This window comes from Homo sapiens, chromosome 12 (genome assembly GCF_000001405.40).
Source record: "Homo sapiens chromosome 12, GRCh38.p14 Primary Assembly".
Lineage (NCBI taxonomy): Eukaryota > Metazoa > Chordata > Mammalia > Primates > Hominidae > Homo > Homo sapiens.
The window spans coordinates 65,326,803-65,343,610 of NC_000012.12; the positions used below are offsets into that span (position 1 = coordinate 65,326,803).

Below are 16,808 nucleotides of genomic sequence, written 5' to 3' on the forward strand. Positions count from 1 at the left end.
TCCCATATCCTCTCTCTTTTCAGGGTCGTGTAGGGATAAAAAGAACTGTAAGGTGGTCTTTTCCCAGCAGGAACTGAGGAAGCGGCTAACACCCCTGCAGTACCATGTCACTCAGGAGAAAGGGACCGAAAGGTAAGGTGAGCTTTAATAAAAAGTCATTAAGAGCTAGATTTCTTCTCCCCCTGCCCTCTGCAGTGCTTTTCCTTGCCAATTAATTTAAAGCATTCTATACTTACTTGCTAAAGTCTATGAATTAGTATCCTTGAAAAGGTTAAAATGGTGTTGTTTAGGTTAAGACTAAGTTTTATTTGTTCTTTTCTCCATTTAATGAATACTGCATATCTGATATAAAGTCACAAAGCTTTTGTTAAGGGCCTGTTTTTAGTTTACTACAAAATGTGTGGAAGTAACAGCGATTTAGGTACATTTTTTGGGAAGACATCACAGTAAGCAAAACCATGAGGGACTTGGCACTATGCCAGGATGCTGAAATTTTGAAGGTGGCCATTGTAAGTATAGACGTTTTGGCTGCAAAAAGAAGGTAGCATAATTTAGTTCTTTTCTACCCAACTCCAATTTCTTTTTGAAGCACATGTGGAGAAAGTATTTATTGGCTCATTTGTGGTTGGAATGTCAAAAATTTTCAATAACTGCCCTCACATGGCTTTGGTCCTTGGAAGTTCGCCCTAAGTCCTGAAAAAAGAGTTTGTTCACTTCCAAGACTGTTTTTAGTGAATAAAGCCTCTCTCAGCTGATTCCAGCTCAAAGGTAACTTGCCAAGGTCCGACGACTTTGTTGTCTAATTTATACCATGGAGCTTGGCGTAAGACCGTAGCTTACCTCTGATCCAAATTTATTAATGATGTAACTTCTTGTTTTCATTCATGAACTGAAAGAGCTCTCTACTACACATGGGATCCCTGTTAACAGGCAACACTCTCTTCCTGTCACAGTATCTACTGTTTACTGAATTTACCAAATGTTGAATCTCTGACGAAGTCCAACCTTAGCATACAATGAGCTAGCAGTGGACTTCAGTCTCAGCTTGCGAGGATTTCTATCCGTTCTGTTGTGTACATGACTAGCAAAATGATTTAATGCACACAAACAACCAGAGATTAGGTCATTCTTAAAAATTCTGTTTATAAAAAATTTGGACCTCATAAAGAGGGTGAAAGGATAATAAAAACAAGCTGCAGAGCACATAGACTTTTTGTTGGGCTAGCACAGCTGATTTGTATTAGCTGAATGACCTCCTAGCCTTTAAGATTGTTAACTTAGAAAAATATTCCCTTAAAGCTGCAATATTCCTTTTCAAACCAAAAAATAAGACTCCTTCCACTTGAAGTCTTGGACCCTTCTGCATTTTCTGGTATATACTCTTGCACACTGTAAAGTAGCAAAATCTTATGTAATGTTCTTTCTGTGAATCTAAACTACAGGCTTTTTTTTTTAATAGAAAAAAATCTTTTTCTAAGCATTACATAACTAGATGGCTTGATTTTTTTATGTAACTTGCACTAGTTTGGAGTAGTTATATGCACATTTTATTATATAGATTTGAAATATATTAGTAAAGTTCAGATTTCCATATGTTTGGTTTGTTTTCATTCTAGTACAAAAAGCCCTTGAAAGATTTATTAGAGAAATATATTTTAAGCAAATACATTCTGTAAGAAATAATGCTAACTTTAATTTTTTAAATGATCTGTTTATTTATCAGTGCCTTTGAAGGAGAATACACACATCACAAAGATCCTGGAATATATAAATGTGTTGTTTGTGGAACTCCATTGTTTAAGTAAGTATGTTGAAAACCTATAGGTATGGCTGTATCATAGATGGCAGCAAACTAGTTATTGCTTTTTCATCTTAGAATCTTTCCATTGCTGAATTTTCTTCTGTTTGTTTTTCTATTTCCATTTACCCCCAACAAAACAAAAGTAATTATTGATTTCATGGTAAATTACCAGTGTGACAGACTGGCTGATTTTGCACTACTTGGATCTTTAAAATACCCAACATTAACTTGTTCATGTCAGTAACCATGGTGCTTAGCAGAGCTGTGAAAGAGATTTTGGCAAGCATAGAAATGTTTATGCATTTACTGATTTTTTAAATCTTCAAATGACAGCCTTAAATATTTATTGGAACATAATGAAAAGTTCTTCATGTATATACTTCACATTGAATAAAATCCACCAAGTAGATTATACTTTTGCAATGAAGGGAAATACCTGTATTGAATGTAACATGGGAACATACCTTTACATAGGTAAGCAAATTATGTAATATGAGGTTAACAGTTTTTGCATAGATTCAAAATCTTTATTTTAAAGATCCCAACAGTTTACCATAAAACAGGCAGCACACTGGACTTTCTGACTAAAATAGTTCATTCAGATAGTGTATTCTGGAGATTATGGATGTTATTCAAGAAAGGGAAATCTTTACCAAAAACTTATTTATCTAGGTGGAGAAAATTCTAGAAGCCCTATGCTTCCCATGGGTTGCTGACTTGGGGGAATAAAAAGGCAGAAACCTTAATTGGGAGTAAATGTCATTGGCTGGGTGTGGTGGCCCAGGCCTGCAATCACAGCACTTTGGGAGGCCAAGACGGGTGCATCACTTGAGGTCAGGAGTTCGAGATTAGCCTGGCCAACATGGTGAAACCCCATCTCTACTAAAAATACAAAAATTAGATAGGCATGGTGGTGTGCGCCTGTAGTCCCAGCTACTCGGGAGGCTGAGGCAGGAGAATCACTTGAACCCAGGAGGCGGAGGTTGCAGTCAGCCAAGTGTGCCACTGCACTCAAGCCTGGGCGACAGAGTAAGATTCCGTCTCAAAAAAAAAAAAAAAGTAAATGTCATTTATTTAAAATGGAATTACAGAGTTTCTTAGGGGAAATAAATAAACAAGGATCTGATACTTGTAGCTAAAACACACTTAATATCTCTCCATAAATGTTTCTCTTTTAAAAAACCAGCATTTACTGATTTTCCAGAAATAACAGGAAACAGTGGTTTCCTTGAAATTAAAAAAATGTTTCTTACATTGCACAAACCTTATTGAACATTACCATTGGTTGAGAATCTGTTCTGAATTCTTACGTATTCCTTCTGTTAAAAAACCGACCCTTCAAATTGTCACCCATTTCCTCTCAGAAAACACACTCCGTATATAATGTTTCAACACCTTTAGCTTATGTCATAATAGTTGATATAACACTTAAGATAGTTGCTGAGCCATGTTAAACTTGTTAATATCCCAAATGGTAAAAATTGGCCACATCCCCTTTACTTTTTGATTCAGATTCTCCATCCCCTTCCCTACCATGTGATTCACTAAAGTATGGGATCTAAAGAAAACTTACTGTTTTAAATAAGAAACAGAACCACTGTAAATGAAGGGTTTAACCCTTGTGAGATTTTTGAGTCACAAATCCTAAAAGCAAGACCCTTATCCAAACATAGATGCTAGTGGGAGTCAGGTTTCACATTTGATGTGATATTGCCTCTATTTCATCTACTTCTGTGCTTACAAGGAGAGCTTTTATTTTCCACATTTATAAGGAATGTGATTTAATACTTTCATTCTACTTTTTTCTTCTTTTAATTGTTTGCTTCTTTTTTACTTGCTTTCTTGTCTATTTTGGGAAAAATTCCTTGCTGTATCCTTCACTGGAGAATGTAGTCGAGTAGCTCATTGGTCTAGTGCCAACTTCTGTATGTGTACTTTCCTGAAACTGATATGTCTGAGAGTCTGTGGTTGGCTGCGTCTTCCTCCCATCTCCTCTATCATGACCACCCTTCTCCCACCTCACAAAAGATGACATACCTTTCACCCAGCCCAAATCTTACCATGTATTGCCCTGGGGTACAATCTCCAGGGCATCAAACAAAATGACAGTTCGGCAACTTTAAAGAGACTCGAAAGCAAGGTTAAAAAAGTGTTGGTAAAAAATAGTGAAATCGTATTTCACCTTGGCAAGGCTCCTGGCACAGCACAGTCCACCTCCCTGTCTGCCTGCTTGTCTGTCTCTCCATCTGCTGACTGTCCATTCATTTTCTACTAGCCTACTTAAGTGAGAAGGCTGCCATGAGAACATGTATTCATATCTTTATTCAAATGAACAAAAACGAAATAATTGGAAGTCTTTTTTTCGGACACAGAATACATCCGATTTGGTTGATTAATTTGACAGTGAGGACTGGCTTTGTAAATTATATGGTGGACTTCATCTGCTCAGTGATCTAAATATGTATCTCTAAGGTTTTGTCAAATCTACATTTTACGTATGTGTAAAGTACACAAAACACCAGAAAATTAATCTTCTGCAATTTAAAAAATTTCTGATAAGACATTTTAACTTAATTTAAATATATGAGGAAGCATGTATCAGTCAGCACCCAGTCAGGACACAGAATACACAGTATTTTGAACAGTAAGGTTTACAGAATTATGAACTGTAAGAGAGGATTGTGGTAATAAGGGATTGGGTAGTAAGAAATGAAAAGAAATTCTAAAGAATACAGGAATAGCAGACATAAGAAACAATCATGACTCCTAGGAACTGAGATAGATAGCCCTAGGAATCCTCTGCACCCCTCCGTACACACAGGGCTGAGGGCTAGACCTTGTTGGAGAGGGCATGGCTGTTGCCACTAAACAGCAGAGAAGTTGTTATGGTGCCATGATGGTGCAACTTGCTGGAGCTTTCCTGAAATCTGAAATTTGCTGGAAATTTACCCTCTGGGATGCTGGGGAAAGCTGTTTGCAGGGCATCTCAGTGGAGGCGCTCCACTACCAAACCATGTGAGCGGAGCGCCAGGGGAAGCTGCTAGCCGCTGGGTGCTGCTCATCGCTGTGCACAGAAAGCAGCACCTGGCACTGAAGAAGCCACTCGTGTAGCTGGAAAGCAGAGTATGCTACCTAAGCTGGGTGCAGAAGGAGCTGTGTGCTCTGCAGGAGTTGGTTGCTGGAAAAGCTGCGTACACGGGAGGAGATGGGTGCAGGAGAGTCCAGTCACATAACAGGAGCCTGGCACTAGAGAAGCTGCCCACATTGCAAAAGCCTGGAAGCAGAGAAACTGCATGGGCTGTGGGATCTGGATGTGAAATATGCTGCAAGCACTAGAGGAGCTTGTTAAGCAAGCATCCTGAAACCAGAAAGGAAAGGGCTTTTGCTCCTGGAGTCTGTCTCCTGTGCCCTCAGCTGGCAAAGTTAGACCTCATGCTGGCTGACAAAGAAAGAAGTATTTAAAGGGCCCAGCCCCATTTTAGCAGAGCAGGCAAAGAAGATGGATTTAGAGGCGAGAGGCTCTAACTTTATTTGAGCACAAAGTCTATTTTTTAATATCAAAATTCTTTTAGGGGTTCAGGAGCAAAAGTTTCAAAACCACTCACTAGTCTAGTAAATTAATGTCACTATCAGGGGCCCTGTAGGTAATTGGTTTTATGCTTTGAACAAAAGTGTAGGAAACAATTGAGGTGTGTGTGTGTGTGTGTGTATGAAAAGTGTGTGGAGTTTCCGTTTGTTAGAAAGGAGTGAGGGTAGAAAACTAGACAGAACAGATTAACTAGAGGAACCGTATGAGAAATACTAGTGGGAGGGAAATAGATAATACAGAAGAAATAAGAAGAGTGCTGAATTTCAAGTATCTAATCACACCGGGGCCTGTTGTGGGGTGGGGTGAGTGGGGAGGGAAAGCATTAGGAGATATATTTAATGTAAATGACAAGTTAATGGGTGCAGCACACCAACATGGCACATGTATACATATGTAACAAACCTGCACGTTGTGCACATGTACCCCAGAACTTAAAGTATAATAAAAAAAAGAAAAGATCATTTCCCCCACTGCTATTTCTGTTATTTTATTCACACTTAAAGTATATGTGTGTGTGCATGCATATACGAGCATAATCCTCATCATTTACTTGACTGCTGTGTGTATTTTACTTCCTCACAAAAAAGGCTATTCAATTATTCTCATTTCATTTTCAAACTTGTACTCTAAATACATTTCCTCTCTGAACAATATACTGCTTTCTTACTGCTTACCAAGTACAAGAACCTCATTCACAGCCTTCTTATAAACCTAATGTATAATTTATTCCATGGTTCACATTTTCTTCACATTTACAAATTTTACCAAGCTAGTTTATTTCTCATATAGTACTACTGACTTTCAGTTAGTAAATTAACTGACAGAAGTAAGAATGTTTTCTCTTCTGGTTATTTGAACTTTTAAAACTTCATAAAGTGAATTTATTGCACATCAGATAAACCAAAGAAAACACTGGGAAAATAATTCAGAAAGTATTTTTGACCATTTATATTTTGCTTTGGTTGACACTTTCCTAGGTATTGTGGAATAAATAAAATAAATTTATGAAATATTTTTTTCCTCAACGTACTTACTTTTTTGGCATAGTAAGAAAAACACAACAAACCATTATAAAATATGACAAAATAATGCTAGTGTCTCTCTGAATGTGCCTGTTTGAAATGCTTTTGTATGTAATAGGAAGGAATATGACTACATCAAACTCAGGCAAGACTTCTTGGGGGAGATGAGAACACACTTTACCAGGCCAAGAGAGGGGTTCAGTTTTTCCCAGGTGGAGGATGCCTAGTAGAGAATACCATATGAGAAGAGGAATCAGAGATAGAATCAAAAGTGGATTTTTCAAGGATATGGAACACTAGTCCAATAGGAGTGGGAAGGTGGGTTATGTTGGGAGTAATGGGAAATATGGCTGGGGAGTTACAGGGGACCAATTAAGGAAGTCCTTGGATGCCAGAGAAGGCATCTAAATTCCTACTAGAAATCTTTTAAGCCTTGGAATCTTTTCCTCCATAAAGCCCTATCTGATCCTTCTAGTGTGAACGTGAATGTCCCTCATCTCTGCTCCATAGCACTTTGAATGCGCTTCCATCATTGCAATTTCTACTTTGTTTTATAATTATCTGTCTATGTGCTTGTCTACCCTCTTGGAGTGAATTTCACAATGGCAAAGCCATACCTTAGTCATATTTATATTTATAGCCCCGGCACATAATAATCACCAAATACGTAGTTGTTGATCACATGCATATCTGAACTCTGTTAGATAGATAGTGAGGTAATAGCGTGATGAAAATGAGATGTAAGCCATAACAGTGCACAAGATAGATTCTGGGATTGGAAAAAGAAGGAAATAGGGATGTTAATTAACAGCCTCAGTGGGAACTCTTTTTTTTCCTTGTTAGCGGATAAACCTCAACACTATGCATGTGCAATCAGCTTCTGATAATTTTGTTTGAGACCTTGAGGAACCACATAGGACATTTTAATATTTTGTATACACTTATTCAGCAGGCCTTCCACTGAATAGCTCATTTTCTATAGGTTCACTAATGATAATGATAATAATGCTAAAACAATAGCTAACACTTACTACAGCACTTACCATATGTCAGGCATGGTTCTTAGTGCTTCATATATGTGAACTCATTTAATCTTCACAGCAACACATTTTATAGATGAGGAAACTGAGAGAGGATAAGTAACTTGTGAAGATCACACAGCCAGTATACAAATGGATTTAGAATAGTAGCACTCAAACATTTAAAAAAGAAGAAAGTTAAAGAATTATAGTAGAATGAAATTTTAATATTTTATTTTAGTCACTCTGGTTATTTCACTTAGCATCGTTGGAACAAATGGAACACACAGAAACATGCATACACACACACACACATCTCTCAATTGTTTGAAAAATCTGTTTGTCACAGTACTTAAGTACTTAAGTTGAAAGTTGAAAAGTGTCTCAATGTGGGAAGGGCTAGCCCAAAAGTAATGAGATCCATCATGGCAGGTCATCAAGAAGGACTCAGTTTCAGGCAGGTTATTATCTGTCCTTAGGGAAGTCCCTTGGAATCCTGACAAGAAAATGGAGCCAATGTTCAGGAAGTCATCAGGCCATTCAACATCTGGGAGCTAGGGCAGCAGCTGGATTTGTGGGCAGGATTTTAGTAATTGAAACTGGGAGGTCATTTTATTTTCACTTATTGACTCCCTGTCACATTTTCTCAAATAGCTGCATTCCAAATTTTCACTAATCTTTTCTTTAAAAAAATCCTCTCTCTACATTTTTTGAGAAGATTGATGCCAACTGACACGAACTATTGTAAATGTCTATCTTACTACTGGAAATTTTTGTGTCCCTTCATCTTTATCAAACAATCAGAACAGGCACTGACTAACAGCAGCTAGTGGCGCCTGCTGAATATCAGGCCAGATGTGTGATCTCAGATTCATCACCTGTAAAATGGGGTAAATAACACCAAACAGGTGTAAAAACTAAATGCAGAAAAATGCCTCGAATATGCCAGGTATTCAACAAATGTTAAATACAAGTGGCCTGTCCAAGTTTTGGGAACATATCATACTATCACAGCAGCCTAAAAAATCCTTACAATGTGAGAAAGTACAGGCTTTATTAGACAGGGTCTGTCTGTTAACAGTGGATATTAGTGTGATGAGTCACAGCTCCAGCTGTGTTGCTACATTTCAAATGGAACTCTGCTGCAAGACTGTTCACACATGCTACATTTCACATGAGCCTCCTGTGCAATTTTATTCTAGGCTACCAGAAAATTTAAGCCATTTTTCAGCTCTTTAAGAACATAAGCCCTTTCACTGAGAAAATTCCAGTCCAGTGCCACACACAGTTCACTCAACTGTGCTACTTCATGCATGCTATTCTGTTCACCACTAAAAGAGACTTTCAACATGAACTTTTCCCTCTGTGATGCAATTTTGTGTGTGTGTGTGGCGGGGGAGGATGTAAGAGCACAGTGAGAAGATAAGAGTTTTCCCGTTTTCCTCTCTACTCAAATCCCGTCTCCTCAACCCTTTTAAAACTCTCCTTACGATATTTAACAACCATTTCAGTCACTGTGGAATTCTGTTATGGAGAGTAACATGAATTTAACTTAAGCTTTCTTTTGTGGAACTCTAGCTGGAAATTGCTCATAATTCCAGAAAATGTTTCTTAACCTCTAACGAAGTACATTTAACTTGAATTTTAAAAGATTTGAATTGCCTCTCACCTTATTCAAAATCCTTTAACGAAGAAAGCTTTCCAGTATAAAGAAACTGTTCTGAAATAAACTAGAGTTCTGAGTGGTGGCTTACTTAAAGTTGTGTTATAGCTGAGTAAGTAATATATTATTTTGAAGAGAATATAAAATTGACTTCTCTCAGCCCACTGACCCTTCCTGTCTTGTCCCCATACAATGATTTATAGGAAAAGTATTTGTAATACAGACAGTTACTTTTCTATCTTCAACTCAACTGAAAACTCAGAGAAAAACTACAGCTGGATTGGAAGAAAAGGACTTGCTTGAGACAGGGAGTAAAAACACAGCCAAAGCATGACTTTAGAAGAAAGAAAAGAACATAAAAGCTTGGCATAAGAAAAGGAAAGAACAACTCCATTTGAGAAACTAGAAAACTATCGCAAGGCATGACTCAAAGTATAACAATATACAAAGATAATTATAACTGCATTTTTCTTTTTAAAAAGTTATATACACACGGAAAAGAACTGAAGCAATAGATACAAAAATACCTAGGTGTGTGAAGTTGTGTGTGTATGTGTATTATTTGGGGAAAGGAAAGTGAGGAAAGAACAATCTTGCCTTGCCTCGTATTACCTAAATAACAATCTTAGTTCTTCAGTTAATTTTCCAAATGGATTACATTTTTCACAGTGAATTAGAATGGATAGTTAGAATAAACTGGGAAACATAATAGGGAAAACTTTTAACTGTAATTCATGTACATTTATCTTGTTTGAATAAACATGAATCAGAAAATTAATATTATTCCAGTTTACAAACTTTGAAATTACTTAAAGGCAGTTTATAAAAAATAATGTGCAAGTTTTAGCAAGTACTTCAGAGGTAATTCACAAAGCTTTTTTTGTAAATGAATAATTCTTTTATTGAAAAATAGTTATTAAGAATTGCACAAATTTTAATCAGATAGATATCTTCAGTGTGTTTTACACGTGGATAAAGAACCCATCACATAACATTGTCAAACAAAGATACAGAAGCCATCCAGCTCACCAGTTGGAAACATCGTGTCTTAAAAGTTTTAGCAGAGGCTGGGCGCGGTGGCTCACGCCTGTAATCTCAGCACTTTGGGCGGCTGAGGCGGGCGGATCACGAGGTCAAGAGATCAAGACCATCCTGGCCAACATGGTGAAACCTCATCTCTACTAAAAATACAAAAAATTAGCCGGGCGCAGTGGCGGGCGCCTGTAGTCCCAGCTACTCGGGAGGCTGAGGCAGGAGAATGGCGTGAACCCGGAAGGCGGAGCTTGCAGTGAGCGGAGATCGCGCCACAGCACTCCCGCCTGGGCGACAGAACGAGACTCCGTCTCAAAAAAAACAAAAAACAAAACAAAACAAAAAAAAACCAAAAATCAGCTGGGCATGGTGATGCATGCCTGTAGTCTCAGCTACTTGGGAGGCTGAGGCAGGAGAATCGCTTGAACCCGGGAGATAGAGATGGCAGCGAGCCGAGATCACACCACCGTACTCCAGCCTGGTGACAGAGTGAGACTACATCAAAAAAAAAAAAAAAAAAAAAAAAAAAGTTTCAGCACAAATTTGTTGCATAACCATAGTCAAGTTATTTTAACTTTCTATCTCATTTTTTTTCAGCTGTTAATAGTGAGAATAACATCAACTGTTTCTAATTCATAACCCTACCGTATCGAAGGAAAGGATCACAGAAACATGCTAGAAAAGATATAAAGTTGGAAGTATAAAGTAAGATTTGTGAAAACTGCCACTTTAAATAAATGTACACAGTAAGCCATAAACAGCATGCAAATCTGAAGTTCTCAAAACTAAGTCGGTATAACTGGCTTTTGATGTCAACATTATTGCATATTTTATAATATATTATTTGACACAGTGATCCATCTCATCCAAAATATTTCTGGTTTCTGTTGAATAATTTAAAAATATTTTAGTGTGGATTTTAAATTCTCCAAATTATATAACTTACATGAGTAACTCAGAGTTTTAATACATTTGTCATTTGCAAATCTCTCTCCCCAACAAAACTATGAACTTTTTGAGATAATAGATTATGATATAGGGCTTTTGTAGCCCCCACCTCTACTCCATTACACGGGCATTGGATTTTGCAAATCCTAGGTACTTGACTATTTGTTAAATAAATACAGTTTAATCCTGATAAGAATAACAGCAATAACCTGCCTGAAAATGATTCAAGTTGACACTAAGATGGCGGAAATGTAAATAGATACTTGGTACTGGATTCCCATAATTATTAATTCCCTGCCATGTTTTCTGAATAATTTTTTTTTGTATTTTCTGATTTCTGTGGTGCAAATGCTTCTGCTGTGGGCTATTTCAAGTACAGATATGACATCACTAAATGTCGGTTTGGGAAGGGACGTTTGGTAGCACCATTACACAGTATTCTGTAATACAGATATGACAGTTGTAAATAATGTAGTCAAATGTAGTTAAATAATTGGGAAGTGGTGAATTTTGAATATTTATTATCTTTGTTTTTAATATACTACTCCTGGAACTTACTTTTGGTAGATGCTTGTTACAACAATAGCATTGCTTGCAACTGTAAAGTTGTACCTGTCTCACCTAAGGGAGTGATGACGACGTCTATGGCTAGGACCTTTAACAACAAAACAGTAAATAGAGCAAAAAGTCACAAAAAATAGGATCAACCACCCAAAGCTACATTAGAAGAAAAATTCATAGTCGAGCCTTTTTATTATCAAATATAAGAACGATTAAAAATAATGAAACTAAATCTTCATCTCAAAGTGCTAGAAAAATAACAACAAAATCAATAAAAGAAATTGGGATAAAATGTCCACGTTTTTCCTCCAGGCATTTGCCAATTCTAGGCATGAGAAGAGAGGTAAAGATTCCAGGCTGGGCGCGGTGGCTCATGCCTGTAATTCTAGCACTTTGGAAGGCTGAGGTAGGCAGATTGCCTGAGCTCAGGAGTTCGAGACCAGCCTAGGCAACATGGTGAAACCCTGTCTCTACTAAAACACAAAAGAAATTAGCCAGGTGTGGCGGCATGCACCAGTAGTCCCAGTTACTTGGGAGGCTGAAGCAGGAGAATTGCTTGAACCCGGGAGGCGGAGGTTGCAGTGAGCCAAGATTGTGACACTGGATTCCAGCCTGGGTGACAGAGCAAGATTCTGTCTCAAAAAAATAAAAATAAAAATAAAAAGATTCCAGACATTCCAGACAGAGACATACTGCTAAGAGGCAGACATACTAACAGAAAGGTGTTTCTCAGCCTCAGCTCTATTTACATTTTGGGATGGACAATTCTTTGTTGCGGGGAGCTGCCCTATACATTGTAGGATGTTTAGTAGCATCTCTGACCTTCCACTAGATGCCAGTAGCATTGTCCCCACTTCTTCTGCACTTGTGACAAACAAAAATTCCTCCAGACATTCTCAAATATTCCCTGGGGCAAAATTGTCTCTTGTTGAGAACAGCTGATCTAGACAACCAACAGAATGGTAAATCTAGCTCTAAATCAACAAATAATAAATCAAACACTGACTTTTAGTATTTTCTGATTTCTGTGGTGCAGATACTTCCACTGTGGGCTATTTCAAGTACAGATATGACATCACTAAATGTGGGGTTGGGAAGAGATGTTTGGTAACACCATTACACAGTATTTCTGTAATACAGATATGACAGTTGTAAATAATGTAGTTAAGTGTAGTTAAATAATTGGGAAGAGATGAATTTTGAATATTTATTTTCTTTGTTTTTAATATAATTCATTTAATTATAAATTTACGTAATTTATTTTTAATAATGGCTATGTTTAGCAGCTAGCTCAACAGGTTCCTTAAATGATAACAATAGATTCTCCTAAGCTTCAGCACACCACTGTAATGGGGGCAAACAAAAGATAGACCAAACTTAACAAAAACTGCAATCCAGCCTCCAGTCAGCTCAGTCCCCAAATTGATTAAGGTGATCTTTCACCTCCTTTCCCCAGTCTAGCTGGCTATCAGAGGATAGGATGAACCCTCTCTGGAAGAAGATTAAATTATCTGGAGTGCAATTTTTCATGCACAAAGCCTGGCATTCATAAAAAATTACCAGGCATACCAAAGTACAGGATCAAGGGAAATAAATTGACAAAACAAACAGGTTTATACACAGCCCAGATATACAGATATTTAAGTTAGGCTTTAAAATAACTGTGATTAATATATCCAAGAAAATAGATGACAAGATGGAGAATTTCACCAGACAGCTGGAATCTATTGTAAAGAGTTAAGTAGTTTTAGGGCTGAAAAATGCAATAACTGAAAGTATAAACACAACAGATGAATTTAACAGCATATTAGACACACAAGAAAGTAGGACTGGCAGACAGCAACAGCAAAAAACAGGTTAGTAGAAAATATCCAGACTGAAGCTAGGAGGGCAAGAAAAAATTATAGATAAGAAATATGTTTCAGTTATAACATGTATATAATTAGAGCCACAGAAAGGGAGGGAAAAGAAGATGGGAAAGCAATATTTGAAGAGATAATTGCCAAGAATTTTCTCAAACTCACAAACTTAGAAAAAAACTTCAAGCTACAGATTGAGAAAGTGCTTGAAATCTGAAACAGGATGAATAACCATATCTTATTATATCACACTGCTAAAAATCAAAGGCAAGGAGAAAATCTTAAAAACATCCAGATAAATTAACATGAAAAATAAAAAATGTAGAACTGTTAAATAAATTCTAGAGGTTGATCTTTGAAAAGACCAATAAAGTTGACCATTTCTGTCAAGTGTAGTCAAGAAAGAAGGGAGGAAAAGTATAATGTTTAAAACACTAGAAATGAGAATAAGATAAAACCACAGAGATGGAAAAAACTATTTTAACGTAAGAGAATACTATGTATAACCCAATTCTAATAAATTAAAAATCTCAGTGAGGTGGGTAATTTTCTAAAAATAAAATAATATACAAAATTTGACTCAGGAAGAGTTACAAGACCTGAATAGACCAGCAACCTCAGAAGAAATTGAGTTATCACAAAAATAAATTATTCCTATGCTATTATAAACTGTATCAATTAAAGAAAATAGAATAAATCTTATCAACTTATTGACAAATGTAAAGTACTCCTAAAATCAAGATCTGATAAAAAGATATTCAATCAAAGAAAAACTATAGACCTATCTGATTTATGAAAATAAAATGCACTCACATTTTATTGCAGCACTGTTCACAATAGCCAAGATTTGGGAGCAACCTAAGTGTCCATCACAGACGAATAGATAAAGAAAATGTGATACATATACACAATGGAGTAGTATTCAGCCATAAAAAATGAGATTCAGTTATTTGCAACAACATGGATGGAACTGGAGTTCATTATGTGAAGTAAAATAAGCCAGACACAGAAAGACAAACATCACATGTTCTCACTTTTCTGTGGGTGCTAAAAATTAAAACAGTTGAACTCATGGAGAGAGAGAGAGAGTAGAAGGATGGTTACCAGAGGCTGGAACAGTTGGGGGGAAGGGAGGATGGTTAACGGGTACAAAAAATGGTTATGAAGAACAAAAAATTGAAAAACTAAATGAGACCTAGAATTTGCTAGCACAGCAGGGAGACTGTAGTAAAAAAATAATTGTACATTAAAAAAAAAAAACTAAAAGAGTATAATTGGGTTGTTTGAAACAAAGGATAAATGCTTGCAGTAATGACCCCGATGTGGTAATTATGCATTGCATGCTGGTATCAAAATATCTTAGGTAACCCATAAGTATATACCTACTATATATCCACAAAAATTAAAAATAAAAAAGAAAATAGATGTAAGAATCTTAACTAAAATATTAGTAAAAGGAATATAGCAATATGTTGAACAAGTAACATGTCATGACAAGGTAAGGTTTATTTCAGGGATGTACAAATGGTTCAATACTGGGACATCTTAGGAAAAATATAATCATTTTAATATGTACTCAGAAGAGATTTTATACACATTCAAAATGTATTCTTTAATTTAAAAACCTCTTAGTATAAATGAATACTATGTTTCATTAAATCTAAGAAGTCATTTGTAAGGGTATAGAAGAAAAACCAAAGTGTTTTTTTCTGTTGTCTCTCACCACTCAACACTACTACAATACAAGTTCTAGGGGAAAATAGAAGTGGGAACTTGTATAACACTGGGGTGATGTAGGCCTTTCTAAACAAGATTCCCAAAGCAGAAATAAAAAGATAAAAGACATTGGATTGGACTACTAAATATTTTACTTTTCTATAGCTCAAAAACACCATAGAGTATATTATTAAAAAAAAAACCAACAGCAGTGGCAAAAAAGCAAACTGGGAAAAATATATGCAATCCATTTGATGGACAAAAGATTCATATCAAAATCAATTGAGAAAGACAAACCTCAGAAAAATGGGCAGAAAATATAAACAGATACTTTTCAGAATAAGAAATACATATGATCCACAAACTTAGGAAAAAATCTTTCACCTCTTAATAATAAAAAATGAGGTAAAAAGATGAATAATTTTTTACCTACCAAATTAGTGAAGATTTCCAATATTGTCAAATTAAGTATTGGTCAGAGTATAGGAAATTAGCACTTTCAAATACTACAGGGTAGAGTGTGAATTGGTAGTACCTTTCTGGATAGCAGTGTAATAAATTATTAAAAGTCTTAGAATTCTGCATGCCATAGGTCTAGCAATTACACTTCTAGGAACTTATTCCAAAAATCATTTTTATGCATAAAGATATAGCTACAAGAATGTTCTTAATCATTCTTCTTATGATACAAGAAATAATTTCAATGTCCAAAATAGGAGTCTATGTAAATGAGCTATATGGTGAAAATATATCTGACATTTCAGATAATAGTGCAAAAGAACATTTAATTATCTGGAAAGAGATTTAAAATACATTTATAAGTCTAAAAGAGTATTAACATATGATCCCATATCTATGAAATATGCATACCTATAAATATATGCATAGGAAATAGTTTAAAAGGTTTTGTACCAAATGTTAACAGTAGTTATCTCTGGATGGTGCAATTATAGGTGATTTTTAAAATCTGTACTTTTAAGTTTTTCTAAAATTAGCAAGTATTTATAGGGTATCAGAAAAACACTAATTATTTTAATATTACCTTTGCTCAATGTGTTACAAACACTGAACAATTTATTTTAAAAACTGACTTTAAACACATCATCTCTCTATGACAAAATTTATCTTTTCCCAATAATAATTTGAAAGAATGAATTAGAATGTAGTTCCACATTTATTTTTAAAGGCCAAAATCCATATTGCCCATCTACTCACATTCGTGGTAGATACTTTGCCCACTGCCATCTCTTCTAAGTTGTTGCTGCTTCTTTCCTTTTTTATCCCTAAGTGACTGGTAATGGTGATGACTTCCTAATGAAAGGTAGCCACCGGAAGCTTAAACTGCTTAAACCTTCTGGTTTCAAATTTTCTCCCTCCTCATGACTACCTTCCATCTTCCTGTAGCACTTACACTGTCCTATTCCCAGAAGCCTAGAGGCAATCAATGAAGGGCGGGACACCAAAGTTAGATTTGCATTTATTTTCAAATGGATTGATTTTTTTTAACTGTTTATCATGTTTGAATATTTTAAAATTGGGAATATTTTAAAGCCACCATTGGTTGAGAAATTACCATGCATTTTGCTAAGCACTTTAAA

At 36.0% G+C, this 16,808-nt stretch overlaps 1 protein-coding gene across 8 annotated transcripts in view; it reads left to right on the forward strand.

The window, feature by feature from the left end:
• MSRB3 (methionine sulfoxide reductase B3) overlaps window positions 1-16,808 on the forward strand; it is a 188,225-nt gene that overhangs the window by 48,120 nt on the left and 123,297 nt on the right. For all 8 annotated transcript variants that reach the window (NM_001193460.2, NM_001031679.3, NM_198080.4 and 5 more), the window contains 2 exons: window positions 24-132; window positions 1,724-1,801. In NM_001193460.2, coding sequence (NP_001180389.1) covers window positions 24-132; window positions 1,724-1,801 — 187 coding nt within the window. The remainder of the gene's footprint in view (window positions 1-23; window positions 133-1,723; window positions 1,802-16,808) is intronic.